General features: G+C 38.1%; 1 protein-coding gene across 7 annotated transcripts in view; it reads right to left on the bottom strand.

Moving 5' to 3' along the window:
- Positions 1-3,962: 3,962 nt before the first annotated feature.
- The window catches only part of BZW2 (basic leucine zipper and W2 domains 2), a 60,337-nt gene continuing 43,808 nt past the window's right edge, over positions 3,963-20,491 (bottom strand). For all 7 annotated transcript variants that reach the window (NM_001159767.2, NM_001362718.2, NM_014038.3 and 4 more), the window contains 5 exons: positions 15,476-15,646; positions 13,419-13,565; positions 12,294-12,432; positions 5,811-5,933; positions 3,963-4,420 (listed from right to left, as the gene is read on the bottom strand). In NM_001159767.2, the coding sequence (NP_001153239.1) occupies positions 4,392-4,420; positions 5,811-5,933; positions 12,294-12,432; positions 13,419-13,565; positions 15,476-15,646 (609 nt within the window). In that variant the 3' untranslated portion in view covers positions 3,963-4,391. The remainder of the gene's footprint in view (positions 4,421-5,810; positions 5,934-12,293; positions 12,433-13,418; positions 13,566-15,475; positions 15,647-20,491) is intronic.

The following is a 20,491-nucleotide window of genomic DNA, read 5'->3' as shown; positions in this document are numbered from 1 at the left end:
TGCCTTGGCCTCCCAAAGTGCTGGGATCACAGGTGTGAGCCACCATGCCCGGCCAAGTGGCTTTTTTCTTATACACATTTTACATCTACCAGCCTGTCACTAATACAGTGATCAGTGCACATAGGTCTTTGGGTACAACTGTGGAATGATTTCTAGAAATGGAGTGCTGGATCAATGGACATGCATTTTTAAAATCTTGATGTTTATTGCCAGATTGTAACTGTAAAGGCCATATGTGAAAATAACTCACTTTTCATACAACTAACGTTATTGATTTTAGTAATTTTTTCTGACTTTATTATTTTAAGTTGTACATCTCCAATTAACAGTAAGGTTGAGCATCTTTTCATTTTAATTATCCATTTGAATTGACTCATCATACTCTGTATATTTTCAGTTAAATTCTTTATTTTTTCTTATTTATAGAAGCTGTTTATATTTTATTAACTTTTATTTTTATCCATCTGTTGAAACTCTACTGATCCCGTATGCATTTGGTGTTTCTCATTCATATGCCTTTCAGTATAGACACATTTTAAACTTTCTATATTCAGAGCTTTTTTTTTTTTTTTGCTTTTGTGTCTTGTTTTCTCTATGTGAAGGCTATAAAGACATTTCTCTGTTTTTTTAGGGCTTTCATTGTTTTACCATTAGGTGAAAATTTTAATTTTTAATTTTTTTAAGACAAGGTCTCACTCTGTCACCCAGGCTGGAGTGCATAGCATGATCACACCTTATTGCAGCCTCAACCTCCAGGTCTCAAGCAAATCCTCCTGCCCCAGGCTCGAGAGTAGCTGGAACCACAGGTGGTGCCACCATGCCCAGTTTGTTTGTTTAACTTTTGTAGATATGGGGTCTCATTGTGTTGCCTAGGCTGGTGTTGGGCTCAAGGGATCAAGGGCTCCTCCAGCCTCCTGGGCCACCCAAAGTGTTGGGATTACAGGTGTGAGCCACCATGCCTGGCAAGGTGAACATTTTTAATTTATCAGATATTATTTTTGTGTATGTACTACTGTGGTAGCCAGTCTCCAAGTTGGCCTGAAATTATCCTGATGTACTGGTATTCATGCTCTCACTCAGTTCTCATATACATTATACAGGGCTGGTCTACGTGACCAATAGAATATAGTAGAAGTGATGTTATGTCACTTCCCATATTAGGTTATTAAAGGTGACTTCCTTCTTGGGCTCCTTGTCTCTCAGATTACTCAGTCTGGAGGAAGCCAGCTATTATGTCATGAGGTCACTCAGGCAGTTGAGTTGAGGTTCTGGCTAAAAGTCAGCAAGAACTGAGGTCCACCAACAACCTTGTGAGTCACCCTGAAAGCAGATTCTACAGCCCTGGGAAGACAGCGACTCCAGCCCATGGCCTGACGGCAACCTCATGAGGCTGAGCTGAAGCCACCCAGCAAGCCAGTCCCAGATTCCAGATTCCAGACCCACAGAAGCTGTGGCATCACATATGTTTATTGTTTAAAGCTGCCAAATGGCCAAATGTTAGGGTAATTTGTTCTATGGCAATGGATAACTAATTTAACTACTTTTAAAATAGAAACTGGTTTTATTTAAAAACAAACAAAGAAACAAACAAAAAACAGGAAATTGTCTTTCAGAGAAAGACAGGGCTTTTGGTTTGAAGATTCATTACTGAGTCCCTGCTGTTTGAGCATTCCTCTCCCCTCCCCATGCGTGCCGACCTTACAATCACTACTTCAAGTTTTGTTTGGGAAAAATACTCTGCGCTGGAAAACGTTAAGTAGTATTCCATAGACTTCTAGTTCCATGTTGGTTCCATTCTAAGCCCTTGGATAACTGTGCTTTTTGGTTACCTTGGAAATGCTGGAGCCAACAAAGTTGTTGGCTCACATTTTTTACTCATATTCTGCTGAAGTGGAGCAATAACTCTCTTACACATTGACATATAAAAACACATAAAAGTTGACATAACATTTGTAGCATGTTTTCAATATTTTATCTTTAAATTTTGTCAGTATATTAGAGATGCATATTTAACTTATTCAGTTTATAGAATATGCTGGCCATGTATCCTAACTGGCAGTCAGGATGTGTCAACTTAGTTGGCCAAGTTTATTTTTCAGTTAAAATTTTGCATTTTTTCAATTCAAATAAACACATTAATAGACACTCATGGTATAATTATTATTTATCTTCAAAATTACAATTTTTAGATATATGGAAGGGGGCAGGAGCAGTGACTTGCGTCTGTAATCTCAGCACTTTGGGAGGCTGAGGCGGGTGGATCACCTGAGGTCAGGAGTTCGAGACCAGCCTGGCCAACATGGTGAAATCTCCGTCTCTACTAAAAACACAAAAATTAGCTGGGTGTAGTGGTTCACGCCTGTATCCCAGCTACTCCGGAGGCTGAGGCAGGAGAATCGCTTGAACCCGGGAGGCGGAGGTTGCAGTGAGCCAGTATCATGCCACTGCACTCCAGCCTGGACAACAGAGCGAGACTCCATCTCAAAAAAACAACAAAAAAAGATCTATTTAAACAGATATTACTCTGTCCATCGCTGGGGCAGAGAACTTGACAGTGCTCTAACTAGGCAGAAAGAAAGACATTTATCAAATATTTAAAAGATAGGAAGACTGGTCCAGTACAGTGGCTCACACCTGTAATCCTAGCACTTTGGGAGGCTGAGGTGGGCAGGGTGCTTGAGCTCAGGAGTTCAAGACCAGCCTGGGCAACATGGTGAAACCCCATTACTACAAAAAATTTAAAAATTAGCTGGCTGTGGTGGCATGTGCCTGTAGTCCCAGCTACTTGACAGGCTGAAGTAGAAGGATTGCTTGAGCCTGGCTGGGAGGTTGAGGCTGCCATGAGCTGTGATCATGCCACTGCACTTCAGCCTGGACCACAGAGGGCACGAGCCCCTCTCAAAAAAAGAGAAAATGATCTATCATTTTATGAACATAAATAGTGGTCGAGTCATATGGAAAATATTTTTTCTTTTCTGAAGACAAACAGGAAATCAGAAAACCCTCTTTAGATACAGGATGATGATACAACAATGACAATTTTCCTTTTACTTATCTTAATGAGTACATGGGTTACTAATGTACCATCCTTTTGTTTCAAGTCTTAGATAAAATGTTTCCTTCTTAGAGATTACCATCACCCTAGCACCAGGGCAGTACCTTAAGCTTTCCAAAAGTTAAAAAAAAAAAAAAAAAAAAAAGACTTCTGTATAAAGTTTTCCTAAATGTTCAGATGTTTCGTACTGTTATGAATACTACTGAGAGAAGAATAACTTAAAGGATAAAATAACTTAGCCATAAATAAATATAAACAAAGACCTAAACCTATATACATAAATCTTTAGCTCTCCTCTAACTAGGGAGAAAATAGTGCTGAGGAAAACGAGCCATGTGAATCATATATTTATATGCTTAATTATTAATAATATAACCATGGTATTATTAATAAGACCAATGTGCGTGTATTTGGGGGTTAACTTCTCCTTTGCCATGAGGATAACTGAAATGTATTACTCATGAGATGAGAGAAACAGAACAGTTTTCTGTTTTTTTTTTATTTGAGACGGAGTCTCGCTCTGTCGCCCAGGCTGGGGTGCAGTAGCACAATCTTGGCTCACTGCAAGCTCCGCCTCCCGGGTTCACGCCATTCTCCTGCCTCAGCCTCCCGAGTAGCTGAGACTACAGGTGCCCACCACCACACCCGGCTAATTTTTTGTATTTTTAGTAGAGATGGGGTTTCACTGTGTTAGCCAGGATGGTCTCGATCTCCTGGCCTCATGATCTTCCCGCGTTGGCCTCCCAAAGTGCTGGGATTACAGGTGTGAGCAGAATAGTTTTTAATAGATGACAAGAAATATAACCATTCAGTATTGTGGATGGAAAGAGAAAAAACACCAAAATACTATCTGTGTAAGAAGTCACGTACAGGAAAGAAATAAAAGCTCTGACAATATAAGCCCAGATTTTTAAAAAGCCATTTATTTTAAAAAACTGGTTTGTCAAATCACATACATGAGCAGATACACAACTACCAAAGTGGCCTGTAATAGACACCAGTGGGGCGGTCACCACACAGTACCTGAAAAATACAGCTAAAAAAGGAGGAGTCTGTTGAGTATTTAATTTCAGATCTACTTGACTCCTTGTTGAATGGCTTTAAGTTAGCATATAGTGAGTGAGAGGTAGAGTCCCAAGTATAATAGCTGATGCCTCAGGGCTCCATTTAAAAACAAAACAAAAACAAAACCATTTCTCCCTCTGCACAAGGGAAGCCTATCCTATTTTTTTTTTCCTTTGCGAAAACAGAAGCCAAGTTTCTCTTCTCAAATGGTTCAGCATTCCCAATCAAAAAGTGGTGTGTGGTAACCTAGGTATTGTGCTTGTTGAGCCATTTAATTTTCCTCACCTTCCGATTCGGATTCTAGGAGAGAAGAAAGAAGTGAGATATTTCCTCCCAGATTCCTCTAATTAAGGTCAAAAGTTACTACAGTCACCAACCCAGAACCCTGCCATTGCACCAGCATACTTTTACCCTAGGCACCCATTATAAGGTAAAATAGTCACATGAGGGCAGATAGCAAACTCTTGCTCTTTTCTGCTTTCACGTAAATTTTGCCTGTCTAAAAATGCAACATGCATACATATACAAATACCTATAAATGAATACATTTTATATATATTAAATTTATACATATAAATTATATAAAAATTTGAATATATATAAAATTAAACAATATAACTTTTCTTCTTTGGATCACCTAAGATAAACTTTTTATTCTTTTTTTTTTTTTTTTTTGAGATGGAGTCTCACTCTGTTGCCCAGCCTGGAGTGCAGTGCTGTGATCTTGGCTCACTGCAACCTCCGCCTCCTGTGTTCATGCCATTCTCCTGCCTCAGCCTCCCGAGTAGCTGTGACTACAGGTGCCCACCACCATGCCCGGCTAATTTTTTATATTTTTAGTAGAGACACGGTTTCACTGTGTTAGGCAAGATGGTCTCGATCTCCCGACCTCATGATCTGCCCGCCTTGGCCTCCCAAAGTGCTGGGATTACAGGCGTGAGCCACCGTGCCTGGCCTGAACTTTTTATTCTTAATTGAATTCACTTTATTTATTTATTTATCGAGATGGAGTCTTGCTCTGTCATCCAGGCTGGCGTGCAGTGGCGCAATCTTGGCTCACTGCAACCTCTGCCTCCTGGTTCAAGTGGTTCTCCTGCCTCACCCTCCCGAGTACCTGGGACTACAGGCGTGAGCCACCATACCTGGCTAATTTTTTTGTGTTTTTAATAGAGACAGGGTTTCACTATGTTGGCCAGCCTGCTCTCAAACTCCTGACCTCAGGTGATCCACCCACCTCTGCTTCCCAAAGTGCTGGGATTACAGGTGTGAGCCACCACACCTGGCCTGAATTCACTCTTACTCATTATTATCCTTCCACTTTATATTTCCATTATTTAAAATTGCCAGTTAATTGGTAAAGGTGTCATAAAAATCTATAGAATTCCATAATGCGTGATTAAGCTAAATGTATTTTTCTCCTTTCACATCTACTAATCATTTCTTCCTTATTGTCCTCCATCAGAGTGGATAATTTAAGCATTTCATTTCTTTCTTTGTTTTTACATGTAGAGATTTTTATTGCCGTGATTTCAGAAAGGAAAGCTAAGATGTTGGCAAAATGTTTGATACGAAAGATAACTCTAGAATTTTAGTTTTAGAAAATCAAGTAAAATCTGTGGAAGAGGTAAATATTTTGACATATAATGAGACAGTGTTTAAAGGTCATCAATGTTTGTAAACAGAATCATACCTTCTTCTGCATTTTGTAACCACTCAACAAATTTCTTCATCTGGTCAAGAAAAACACTTTTGCCTTTAGCAACATGTGCTTCCTTATACCATTTCAGTATTGCTTCTTCGCTCAGAACATCAGCTGCAATTTTAAATCAAAGATTTCAAAGTTACTATACAAATGTCATGTTTCAAAACAACTTCATGTATTACAGTTTAATAGAAAGCAATCATTTTAAATATAAAGCATTCTGTTACTTATCAGAAGAGAGGAACCAAGTTGATTTTCATGTAGCATAGTGCCATATTTTGATAGCTTACTAAAGGCTTAAGTACTGATGATGATGATATACATCTTCTTAGGCATGATATAATGCAAGCCTATAGCTCACTACTAGGACTTGGAAATCTCTCACAGTGCTAATTTGCTGGTAGGAAATAGAATTGTTTTGTAATTTTGCAAATGAACCAGCAATTCCAGCATTTTAGAACATTTTGGGTCCTGCCAAGTTCAACCATATCTTGATTAAAGAGTAACCTCAAATGACCAGTGTCTTTTAAGGAGATTGGGATTTTCTTTTTTTAGGAGAAAAATGACAAAGGAAAAAAATGTAGATAGTATGCAATAATGATGTTAGCAATTAGATATAAAGAGGAACTTCTGGGCTATGTTGTGGGAGTAATACACACCTAAACTGAAGTTCTACACTTTCTCCATCACTAAATCACGACTTATTTTCCCACAGTATATCCCAAATTACAAGAGTAATATTTTTCCTCTACTACATTAAGACAAAATAGACATATTAGCTAATTTCCTACAGGTTTCTAAAAACAACAAAAAATGTTAACTATCTTTTGTCTAAAACTCTAAATTCCACAAATGTGCCTTGATATTCTCAACATAACATTAATTGAGAGTATTTAATGTTAAGAATAGGAAGGAGAATATAAAAATAAGTGTACATAGTCTCCCAATGTTCTAATGGGTTGTTCTAACATTCTTCTAATGTTCCAATGTTCTAATGGGTTGTTGTTTGGGAATCTGTAGTGGGAAACGAGACAGAAAACAGGTACAAAGCATTTATTATTGTCCCCGAGATGTGCTCAATTCATTACAAATACTGATAAAGCCATATAATGTTAATAAATTACTTTAATGATATCTTTTCAGTTAAAATATAATTTCAACTTATGAAAATGACAGAAACAATTTAATATTGTTTTCATTTAAAACATCACTGGTAGTTTCATAACAAAAACATTGGCTTTTTTTATTTTTAAAGAATTATTGGCTCTTGGAAAATGTTCTTGAATTAAATTGAAGAGGCTGAGCTGACTAAAATGAACATGATTTGTTTATGAAAATAAAAGGTTTTTTAAAAAAACATGTTTATTATCATCACTAAAAACATTACATTTTGCAAAGGAAGCAAGAAGTCTGGATTTACTTATAGAGCCTGGATGTAAGAGCTACAATCAGGGGTCCTGTAGACTTATTCTTAGCTTCTAGTTATTTTAGCTCTTTGTTTCCAGCTCTCCACTGAGATAAAAGAAATTTCTACCAGCCATCAGAGCCTAATTGTCATAGAGCTGAGGAGCAGGCAGTTGTGTCCCGAGGAAGTGACCTGTTATTGTGTAAGACTGCCTTGCAGAGACTTTTAAAGAACATTAACAGGGATTTTAAAAGACCCTTTTATATAACTTGTAAATTATCTTTAAGATGCTTATGATTAGATCAGTAATTATCAAACTGTTTGGATCATGTCTTCCTGCCTGTAGGATAATTTTGAGCATATACACCCAACATATGTATATTTTTGAGTTTATAAATTATATTCATGCACTATTAAACTATCATTATTAATGTTCTGCACAAACAATATAATTTTAAACTGTGACAAACATGGAAAGGAGAATTGTTTTTTTTCTCCACACCTTAATGAATTGAGGATGATACAAAGTACAGGTTGGAAAGCTGATGTAGACTGCAGTTTAGTGATACTATTTGTCTGAGCTTTCCTTTTGAAGGTTGAGAGCACATTCCTGTGTTTTATTGCCTCACAGAGGCTGAAGGAGACCATGCAACTACTAAAATGCTTGTCAATGTCAGTGCTTGTGAAAAGCACACTAAATGATAGGTAAAACCTATCAAATGCATTGTTTATTGCAAATCTTGTGCCTTGATATTCTTAAGTTACCATTAATTGAGAATATTTAATGTTAAGAATAGGAAGGAGAATTTAAAATAAGTCTACATATTAACGGCGCAATGTGGAGTTCTTAGAAGAACCCAGGGTAGTAACAACTACTTGCTGAAAGATCAAACTTCTAGTACCAGAGAATTATTAATTAAAAGCTACTGAAGTATCTACACAGAGCACCATATGAGGCAAAGTATGAACATCGAAGAGTTTAAGAAGAAATTAAACTTCTATTTAGTGAAAGGAAAGGTCTGAAAAGGAAGGAACTCCTTGAGGGACAAAGAATTCAGACAATTTTTTCCCTCACTAAGGATAAAGTAGGGAAAAGAGTTAATTAAAACTGAGAAACCATTTTTGGTGGGATATTTCATAAATGCCTATTAGGAATATAGAATAACAGTAAAAGACAGTAAGAAAGGAAGACATTGTATGATGGCACATAGAGACTGGAATATATGTTTTCCCCTTCTATCTGGCCAACTTCTTCATAATGTCTGGTGAGATACATGTACCTTGAGAGCCTTCACTTCTCCCCCTCCAAATTACCTTTAACAAGTTAGGTGCCCTCCCTCTGTGGTCCTATCCCTTCTGACACCCTCTGTGTGAGGCTTATTTCAGCAATTGACATGGTGAGTGTAATTCTTTGTTTTCTTCTACATCCTGAAATTCAGGAAGTCAGGGACTATATTTTGTTCATCTCATTTCCAGCATTTAATGAAAGACCTGCCCTATAGTATCGATTCAACACACGTTTAAGGAATAAATTTGTTAACTTGATGAGAAAAAATAAATATTTCTCAATTTGTAGAGTTCTAATGTATTCATGAGGATCGAAGAGACAATACTGTAAAAGTGGCTTGAGAACTGCTAAATTTTAGATCATGTTAGTTATTTAGAAACTTAGTCTGAAACTATGTCACTTGAAACTCTTGAAATTCAGAAATTTTTTTATTAGGAATGTCACATAGGGACACAAGTCAAAAATAATTTACCCTAAGAATGCTGGGAATATATGCTGAGAAGGGCACTCACCCTTTTTTAGAACTAGAATAAAAAACTCCTTTTAGAAAAATTTGCATGCAGGATAGAATTTAACCTAAAAAATTTCTGCAAACAAGAAAACCCATGATAGAGATAATAACAGTACTTGACAAGGTAGTTTTACACATTTTAGACCATGCTGAGTCTATGGGACTTATCTTCAGGGAAAAAAGAAGAGAAAATTATTTTTAAAAGTCAATAATGTGATGCTTGAAAGTTAGCAATGGATTTACTGTTTCTTACTACCTTAAAAATATGCAAATCTAGATTTTAATACAGAGAGTCTTTGCAAAATGACCCATCACCACTTTTTTCTTTGCTGACTAGCATTATTTAGTTTATTTGCTTTTATTCCACTGTTATTTATGTAAAAGATTTATAAATCTTTCAATAATGATATTCAATTAAGTAATTAGATTTGCCAAGGGGGACATGGCTAATCATATGCCCAAGTTTCTGCTATCATCAAGTTCTGGACATGTTGGGAAAGGGGAGGTGTGTGTGTGTCCATGTATATGTTTGTGTGTGCTCTGTGTGTCAGAGAGAGATAAAAATGAAAATTAAAATGGAGCAACGGTTTCCATTACATTTTAAAAACTTGTTTTAGAGCACTACGTTCCTTATGACAAACAAAAGGAATCCACAGAAACTTGGTAAAAGAAGCAGAGAAGACACTACTCCATATGTGTAAAATGTGGGTATGTACATGAAATCAAAGGTAAGTATAATCTTGAACATGTCACTGGAGTTCATAGCATCTGTTGCTTCTTGAATGCTATACACTTTACACCAGTGGTCCTGGTACAACAGTCAGAGCATCAGCTTGGAAACTTGTTAAAATGAAAATTCTCAGGCCCAACCCTGGCCCTACTGAATCAGAATCTCTGGGGGAGCTGTGTTTTATAACAAGCTCTCTGGGTAATTCTTAGGCATATTAGGAAAGGAGTGCTTTAACACTCACTGTTTACTAAGTCTCCCTCTAGGCATATAAAACACGGAATGAGAGCATCCAAATCTTTACAGAAACAAATCAAATACATGTCTCCTGGTGCACAAGTGTTTGGTGGACAAAATAAGGTGAAAGTAAAAATCTGGCAAAAAAGAGACAAGATGGTAAACATAGTTAACACAGTAACGCTCTTAACGGTGGTATGGAACAATCATTCCTCAGGGATTGCATGTTCTCCAGAGAAAACATGGAATCATTTCACTTAAGAAAACAGACTATATATATCATTCTGTGGAAAATTACAAAATTACCTAGAAAATGGTATTGAAAATGTTAGTTCAGTGATGTGTTTTAGGTTTACATTTTTAAAAAAGTTTCCCAATTTCATTTCCAAAAATAACTAAGGCAGAAATAAAATTGATGTTGACACTCACCCTTCCTGTGTTCCCTGGGGCCAGGTCATACTTGCCACAGACCTCACTAACTTTAGGTTATTTAAACGCTGATTACCTAGTTAATCAATGAGCCTAAGAGCTCATGCCTCTTCTTTTTACTTCCTAGTGCTTACTTCTTGAGTTATTTTCTAATTTCAGGTCATACTGACCCTTAGCATCTGGGGCTGATGAAGAAGAAAAAACTCAAAGTAGCCAGTTTTACTACCTGTCAGTAGTTGTTATAAGAAGTCTAAGTCTAAAGGAAAAGGAGGTTGGCATTAGTGGTTAAAATGAGAAATCTGAAGGATTTTAATAGTTCATGTGCCACCTAGATGTCATTTCCCGTAACAATGGGTTTGCTGATTCTTTGTGATTTCATTACAATAATACGATAGGGTGCTCCTGAAGATGAGACTCCGACAACGATGTCTCAGTTAAAAAAAAAAATTGGTGAGAAACACTGGTTGGGTTATCTTTTATATGACAAGAAAGCAAACTATGTTCAGGTAACTAACTAGTTTACGAACAGTTTGGTTTTCCGTAGTGGAAAAAATTGACCACCCTCAAAACAAATGTGAAACCTGTCCCATAGGTCTCTCTGCCAGTTTTACAAATGGAGCCAGCTGTGGCCACAGAAGGTTGGGCCCCACTTCTCGTTCTTGGCTGCTGGGTACCATCTATGAATTGGTAACATGGCTTGCAGGTTTGGTTCTGATGGGTGGATCACTTTGGGTATCATTGGGTGGGGCCTAGTTTTAGGACACTGCTATCTTATGACTAAATCCAAGAAGACCCAACTCAGGTCTGGTTGGAGAAAATACCAATTACTGAACTTCAAGTGGCAATGGGTGGCCATCATATTTTCCTCCTGACTATTATAATTGTTGCTGAATACCTCTGTGCCCTGAAAAAGTAAAATATCACCCAAACACTTGTGGACAAGATTCATTCATTTGAGGAATCTACGTGGCCAATAAAAATTCATTGTGAAATGCTATTAAGCATTTTTAAAAGAGCTATTATTTATCTAAAACCTTTATTTTCCAAATTCCCAAGATATAATTCAAAAGAGACAAATTTAGGAACACATGAAAGGGAAAATAAACATTTGGCTGGTATTATTTTAACTTTTCTGATATGATATTTATGAACATAATAACATAAAATAAACATGTTATAATGTTCAAAATGTACCACTTCTTAAGTGTTCCTTTTTCTCCCTCACAAAACTACATAAATGTAGGCCCAAAAAATAGCCTAGGACATTTCTGTATGCTGTAGGTATACAGATTGGGATCGGTTAAAACCTTTAGCATTCATATTTTAGTGCCAGTTGTCATAGCAACCTAATCCTTATAAATACAATGAAAAGACAGTAAATGTGAAAACCTAAAAATAGCCATTCCCTTGGAAAACAGGAGAATGGCTGGGCCAAGTAACTAAAATACAAAGTAAAAAGGCTAATTACTTCAGTAATTTTAAAGTCAGATTTATGGTACCTAAAAGAGTCTGAACATAATATATATACTATTTTGATAATCATTGTTATTAGAGCTAATCCTTACAATTCAAAAACAGGCTCAATTTTATATAATTACATTTTTTTTCCACCAACCCCAAGAAACAATTACCAGTTCATCTACCAATGAGAAGTGCCCAGGGGCCTAAGCAGGGTTTCCAAGGCAACGCATATATGGCGTGTATGCCTCCTCTCTCTACATGGTATGGTTGCCTCAATAAAACTTTCACAAATTAGCATCTTGCTGTCCCTCTCTAAACAGAGCCCCATGACCTCCTCTGCCTCATTGCCTGCTCTGCCTCTCAAAGAGCTTCAGCAAAACACAGAAGCACAGCAGTGGCACGTGGATGGATACCTTTATAAAAGAGAACCACAATCTTCTGAAAGGCTTTCATGAAATGGATGTTGTCGTAGCAGTATTCCTGAACCTTCTGGAGGAGGATCAGCTCTGACTGGCCTTGGGAGCTGAACACGGCCAGCAGGGGAGCATATTGCTAGAACAGAAGTGGAGAGTAAAAGCCGTCACTTGCGTGGGAGGTACAGAGCCGACACTGCTGGAACTATAACAGTAACCTGGAGGGTTGCTTAGAAAAGACTGACTTTCAGGATTGACACCTTTTATCATCATATTGTGCCCAATGGGGTGAGGGGAACAGAACAGTAGGAACAAAGCAGTATAGTCGACCTGTGAGGGAACTGGGAAGAAGATTCACATTTTTTCAATGGCAGAGCCACAGTCCAATAATACAATGGATATTCTATGAGGATATGACCTCATTTTCGAAATATCCCTTAGACATAGCAGGCCAGCAATTATCTTTAATATAGGCAGATTCTCATATTTGGTCTCTTAGTGGGTACAGGGAAGGAATCTTGATGAGCTGCTGGGATAAAAAGCATTCATTTAGAAATATCCTTGACTTTCTGACACTGAGGCATAGCCATTGTTTTTCTGAGACTTACTCAATTCAATACTTATCTCTTCCAAAGGGCCTTCCCTGATCAAAGTAACATGGACAGTTTACTCACTGCTATGTTCTCATGAACGCTGGGTGCAAACTTGGAAAAAAATTAGGAAGTATATGTTTAGTCTGAGTCTAGGGTAATTGTAGTTGGAACCCATTTGTCATACTCTCAATTAAGACAAATTTGGGCCCGGCGTGGTGGCTCATGCCTGCAATCCAACACTTTGGGAGGCCAAGGCAGGAGGATAGCTTGAATGCAGGAGTTCAAGACCAGCCTGGGCAACACAGCGAGACTACATCTCTACCAAAAAATGAAGAAATTAGCCAGACGTGGTGGCACGCGCCTGTAGTCCTAGCTACCTGGGAGGCTGAGGAGGGAGGGTGGCTTGAGCCCAGGAGTTCAAAGTTGCAGTGAGCGCAGATCGTGCCACTGCACTCTCAAACAAACAAACAAACAAACAAAAAAAGCTGCAGTTTGCCCTTGGCTGGGTCAGTTCCTTGCTAAGGGCTGTTACCTTCAGGTGCTTCAGAGCCTGCTCTGCAACAAGTTCTTCCTTCTTGTTCCACTCAACAGCGTTCATTATACATGTCCACAGAAGACCAATCACTGCTGTTTCTGGAAGATCATTCCTCTTCATTTCTTCTTTGACATAAAGCACCACCTACATTACATGGAAATGGGGTCAGAAAGTAACAGGCAGATGGAGGGCTCCCATCTCCCCGCTAGCTGCCCAGTCAATCAAGGTTTTGGGGCAGCTAAGAAACAATCTGCTTAGCTTCTCCTTTCCTTGTCTGCATTCTCAGACTGGAAGAGGGAGAAAAACTATAATGATTTGTTCTCAAAGCAAATTTATTTTTAGTCCCAAAATTAATAGGCTTAGCTCTGGCCAGGAGCTGCTGGATAATGTGGAGTAAGAGAGGATTTTTGTTTCCTCATAGAGAAACCCCTTTGAGTCTAGTAGAGTAGGGATACTTGAGCCAGTTTGACTTTTTGGAGATTTAAAGAAGGCAACAGCGTTGTGAACTTTTATCCCATCCCTAAACTTTAAAACCTCTTGATGGATACCATCTTGGGTTTGTACAGGTCCATTCTCCACAATTTATTCTTCAATGATTACTTTTGATGATCCTTATGCCCCATCTCAGTGAAAAGTTAATTTGTAAATAAATTGTAAGTGCAAAGGCAATTTTTAAATTTCATATACATCAATTCAGCAGTATTCAGCAACTTATTTTCTCCTTTGAATTATGTATAAATATGCAAATTTATACTCAACCCTGAGAGTATGGAATATAGGCTTGCCTAAAATTTATTTGAAAGGCTTTTTCCTTTTAAAATAAAATAATAAATAGAGGTTTGGGCCTCAGAAGTGATTGAAAGTCATCGTATATCTCCAGCATACTACTTTGTGAGTAGTAGTAACACCTTTTTTTTCCCTCCCTTTTCTTTTTTGCTGGAAACACATTGCTTTCTTGACTTCTGGCCTGGAGTGTAGAAATGCCAGCAGTGACTTGAGCAGCCTTCAAAAGCAGAAGGAGCCGGGCAGTCCCAGTCCCTGTGCTGGCTGGAGGAAGCCACATAAAAGTGTGACATCCTGGCATCTACAAGCATCACAAGGCTTTTTATGTTTGCTTCTTTTCCCCATGGAAAATAATGTACAAATTCTTGCTTGGAGAAATATGATTAAATATACTGCTATCCTTAATACCATGAGACTTAAGAATATTTGTCATTCCAACACCTCCACCTGCTGGATAGTATCAGTCCTACATTCTCCAGGCTTCAACCATGTGAGCTGCCAAGCAGGGCTTGGAGCATGGAAGGAGGTGTGGGTCAGGCATTTTAGAGCACGTGGAAAAAAAGAAAGGACGCTTTATATTAATTTTTAAATTGTTGCATGAAAGATTTTAAAACTTCAAATAGAAAGCTCTCTCCAGATACACTAAAAATAAAAAAAAGATATAGTCATTGCTTTGTGAACTATAGCATGTATATATAAACTATGTATATGCGTATTATAAAAAATATAGCTTTTACATTATAGGGAAACACAGCTCTTCCAAGTGTGAGTGGGATTAAACAAGTCACTGATCCAACTAGTCTTTTCCCATGACAGGAATTCAAACTTTTTTCAAATAAAAAGCCTGTTACATATTCATACAGAGTGATGAACAAAAAATCCAGTGTTAATTCCAAACACTAGACAAATGCTTAATCAGGTTAGATAACCTGCAACAAAATTTTAAAACTACCATATAATGGGCTATACTGATAGTGGATGGTCAAATCTCTTTGACAGATGAAATATTTTGAAAATCATAGCAGCCTGGTAAAATAAGTCAGTTGTGTGGAAATCACTATTAATTTCTGGACCATCCTAGAGTGTTAACAAAAATGGAGGATTCTAAATCAATACTTTGAAGCTGAGTTAATTTAAATGGTAGGAATAAGTGGACAAAGTTTACAGCAATAAGCATAGGACAGACTTGTTAAGGAAAGCCTTTGCTACACAGCCCATGTAATTCCTCTCATTCATGTGTATTGAGGTGATGTCTGCCCGTGGTCTCCCACCTCCTTGATCGGGCATTCCTGAGAAAGACGCTCCTGGAGCTCCTTCTGCAGTTCCTTCCTGGTGCCCAGGGACTGCTGGACTCGGAGGAAGTCGGAAAGCTCCTTAAGACCTGCGTCAGTGAAGTATTTAGCAAAATGATCCACACTCTGTCTGTTAACTGGAAAGAGTTCCTGAAAAAGGGAAAAAAGACTGCTATAAAACAAGCCATTCAAATTTCAGCAAGCATAAAGGACAAAAGTCTTCATTTCACTTAGAATATCTCACATTTGGAAGAAAAGAATAAAGACTGTTTTACAAAACAACAAATCTCTGGTATATTTACTGAGCTAAACATCTTCTGAAATCAGGCAGTTTCACAAAGAAAAAGAAAAAAAGGGTAAGCAATTGAGATAAACTTGGACCCTACTGTGGCAATACTGAGAGATGAGGCTTTTAAAGAGTTACTGGATTATAAGGGCTCTGCCCTCATGAATGGATTAATCCATTCATGGATTAGTGGGTTATGTTGGGAGGGGACCTGGTGGCTTTAAAAAAGAGGAGGGGAGACCTGAGCTAGCACACTCAGCCCCCTCGCCATGTGATACTCTGAGCCTTCCTGGGACACTGCAGAGTCCCCACCAGCAAGAAGGCCCTCACCAGATGCAGCCCCTTGACATGGGACTTAGCCTCCATAACTGTTAAGAAATAAGTTCCTTTTCTGTATAAATAACCCAGTTTCAGGTATTCTGTTATAAGTAATAGAAAAGGTCTAAGACACCTACCCTACCAACTCTAGTTTATTACATAATTCTGATGGAAATTTTCAAAAAGAGCAATATACCATAGCTGCTCTCATATTTTCACCTCATTTCCATTTTACCCTACACAGTTTGGCAGAATCTCAGTAACACTTAGTCATGATCTAATCCTGGGTGAGTTCAACTCCCATCTATGAAATTAAGATGATTTTCAAAGTTCTCACATTTTTCAGACTGCTGCAGGGTCTAAAAAATATATCCAAGCTTTTGTATTGGTTAGACTTGCATATATATGGCCAATGGCTATGTGGTTCCAGAAAGAGCCTCAGTAGATCTGCAATGGGTTTGCCACCACCTATAGGAACACAGCTGGAGGGCTCCTATGTCAGGATTCAAATTTCAATGTTCTATCATCCTATTAATTTCCCCTGTTGAGTCATATGTTTCAAAAATGTCAGAAGAGAGCTGGTGGGAGCAGCTATCAAACACGCATTCATAATAAAGCAAACATTTTATACCACACTGAAACTGCGTCACTGATATTTCCTCTACTGCTCCACATCTTCCAAATCTGCAGGGAAGGGAACTAATGTATTTTTATTGAGTTTCTTCTATGAATCAAAATGTACTGGCACTTTCCTCATAATAACTGTGTAAAGCAGACATTTTTCTAGACGGTAAACCAAGTTTCAACAAGGTTAAGCAGCTTGACCCAATTTATGCCACCAAAAATATTTAAGAACAGAGCTGTGTGCCCCCAAGTCAATACTTATTCCATTACTCTGTGCTAGCATTCAATATTCTATTTAGGAAGAGTGTGACTGCAAAGTTTGATTTAAAGTTATGTTCAGAGCAATATGCCATTAAACATATCACTCGTAGTTCACTTATGAACTACATTCCAAATTCTTATGAATAGTATATAATACATTGAAAATCATTATTCAGATTAAGTTGAGGGGAAGCCCGTCTAAATCATACCATGTCATTTTTTGACTTGGAACATGGTTTGTATTTTTTTAGAGAAACCATACCGTGGTACAAATCTGTATCATCTCATCCCTAGATTAAGGTCTCTCTGCTTTTGCTCTTGCTCCTGAGTCTATTCCCAAAGTGACAGCAAGAGTGATCCTGTTGAGAGTCAAAATCACATTACACACCATTCTGCAGAGAATTTCCAAAAGTTTTCTATCTTATTTGGAATACAAGCCAAAGCCCTAGATGATATGGGCCTTGCTACTTCTCTGAGCTTATCTACACTTTTGCTCTCACCTGCTCTCCCCTTGCGGTCCCCAATATCCCATGCCCCAAGGCCTTCCCATTTCCCATTCCCTTTGCCTGGAATGCTCTATGTGGAGATATTTAAACAGTTCACTCCACACCTCCCTCAAGTCTTTACACCAATGTCATCTTATCACAGAGGGCTTTCCACCACTGAAAGTTACAGCCCACATTTGGAAGCTCTTTAACTCTTTCCTACTTAATTTTGTTTTGTTTTGTTTTGAGACGGAGTCTTGCTCTGTCACCCAGGCCGGAGTGAAGTGGCGTGATCTTAGCTCACTGCAGCCTCCACCTCCCGGGTTCAAGCAATTCTCCTGCCTCAGCCTCCCGAGTAACTGAGATTACAGGTGTGCACCATCACGCCCGGCTAATTTTTTGTATTTTTAGTATAGACAAGGTTTCACCATGTTGGTCACGCTGGTCTTGAACTCCTGATCTCAAGATATCCACCTGCCTCAGCCTCCTGAGGTGCTGGGATTACAGGTGTGAGCTACCACACCTGGCCCCTACTTAATTTTTACCTTTATTATAATACATATTTTACGGTTTTTAGTTTATGGCCCACTCTCCTGAAATAGAATATAAGCTTCATGAAGGAAAGGGTCTGTTGGTTTGGTTCCTTTCAATCTCCCCATCTCTTGGAAGTTTCTGGCATATAATATAATCGATACATACTTATTGAATAAATAATGGAAGAGATCAATATCTTTGATTTCTTAATCACTATTCTCTTTGTCAGTAATAAGGGTTGGCTTCTCCCATCCCCTCACCTCTCTGAGTTGCTATAAATTGCTCTTTCTTCTGTATTGTAATAGTGGGTGATAGCTAAAGTCTAGTAATACACAACTTTTCCTAAAATGTAGTAGTTCACAGTTAAAGAGAATTTTGTTGTATATGTTCATAAAACAAAATTTCCTCCTAAAGAGTGGAACTGACTCACTAGTTCCTCATTCTTTTGTTGATTCAACAAATATCAGGCAGGCATAGTGCATAGGCAACTACGCTGTTCTCACCCAGTTTATATGTTTCTCGCAGAAACCACCACCTATGTTCCATATATATACACAAACACACACATATGTACACACACACACACACACACACACAGAACCTAGTAAAAACAGCTAAATGACATGTGTTTCCAAAAAGAAAATGAATTTTATAAATGAAGCCATCTAATTAAGCTAACCAGGCTATAGTTGTGAATATCTTTAAGAAAATTACTGCTTTAAGAAATAACCGGATAGATTGTATCTTTGTTCCCAATCATACACCTTCTCTTCTTCAAAAGAGTATTAAGAGAACCCCCTCCTTGCTATGTCTATCTGCAGAGGTGGAGAAGCAGCCTATTAGTGGATTGGATTTTCCCAATCTATTGCCAGGCATGGCAGCGTCCATAGGTGAGTTTTTAAGGTACTTGAGACGTTCAGTTCAGTCTCTGTGTTCTGGTACTTTGCCATGAAGACAGAATGGCCCAGATGGGAGCTGCTCCCTCAGCCTGTGCCCGAATGAAAAGGCATGTGGAACTAAGCCAGGCTTAGCCAAGATAGAGCTAATCTATAGACAACCCACAGCCTCATGGACAAGAAATATGTTCCCTTCATATGAACCTCCACCTTCCTCAGCAACCTATTCACTTATCTTCTGTGACTTTTGCTTCTGTTTACAGGGATTTGCCCTAAGTCCACTAGAAAGTAGGTTTCACGAGGGCAGGCAACTTTTCTATCCTGTTCTCTACTGGCTCTGCAGCTTGTGGTACCATGCCCAGCACAGGGTAGACATTCAGGAAACATGAGGAATGAAAATTATTATGAACTAGAATCTAGACTTCTGTACCTTTTTTACCATAATCTAAAAACTTTAAACACACAAATCTATTTAAGGTAAACTTCAAGAAACAAAGTATTCTTAAGTGATTTAAATTGCAAGTATTTACATTTAAAATTACTTTCATGTGTTCTTGAGGAAAAGAGATAGTCTTAGAATTATCTCATGGGACTGGACCCTTGCACACTGAAACACATTGGAAGAGAACAACAGAGAACAGGCCAGGTGAAGAGATGGCAGCGCTGTGTCTTATTTTTACACTTCATCCTAGAACTGTAAAAGCAATTCCACCTGGAGAAATCTTGGCATTTCACAGCTGCTGCATCAAGAAGAAAGAAATTGTAGGGAGCAGATAGAAATTACAAGAACAAAATATTTTTCTGGATTTTCTTAGAAAAACACAAAGATGGAGAAATAAAAATATAATCAAGCAATTGTGACACAATTAACTTGTTTAATTTCTGCAACAGCTTAAGTATTTCCAGGGAAATCTTGTTTAAACTTTTATTTTGTTAGCAAACTATTTAACACACATTTGAGATTAGCACAGTCTGACTGCTACTCAAGACAGACATCACAAGTATTTGATTAAGTGAGATTGATGAAATTTTTATCATATTAAAACCTTAAAATGTCTAGAAAGTTATGATTATAGGCTGAGTGTGGTGGCTCACGCCTATAATCCCAGCACTTTGGGAGGCTGAGGTGGGCGGATTACTTGAGGTCAGGAGTTCAAGACTAACCTGGCCAACATGGTGAAACCCCGTCTCTATTAAAAAAAATCCAAAAATTAGCTGGGTGTGGTGGAGAGCACCTGTAATCCCACCTACTCGGGAGGCTGAGGCAGGAGAATTGTTTGAACTCCGGAGGCAGAGGTTGCAGTGAGCGAGATTGTGCCATTGCACTCCAGCCTGGGTGACAGAGCCAGACTCTGTCTCAAAAAAAAAAAAAGTAAAAAAGTTATGGCTATAAAACAAAGTCTTAATTCTGATGAAATGTTAATACTATGTCAACAAACTTACAAATTTGGAAGTCTATATTCTTCACAATTCTTTAATTTTATTGTGCCATTTGTTCACAAAATAAAGATTAAAATGAAATTAGCTTCTACTACCAATTACACAGAAATAAAAGGAACAGTGCTCCAAGTCAACACAGATCCAGGGATCT

Source organism: Homo sapiens, chromosome 7 (genome assembly GCF_000001405.40).
Source record: "Homo sapiens chromosome 7, GRCh38.p14 Primary Assembly".
In the NCBI taxonomy this organism is placed as follows: Eukaryota; Metazoa; Chordata; class Mammalia; order Primates; family Hominidae; genus Homo; species Homo sapiens.
Note: the sequence above shows the minus strand (reverse complement) of the source record. Positions and strands in the feature narration are given on the sequence as shown.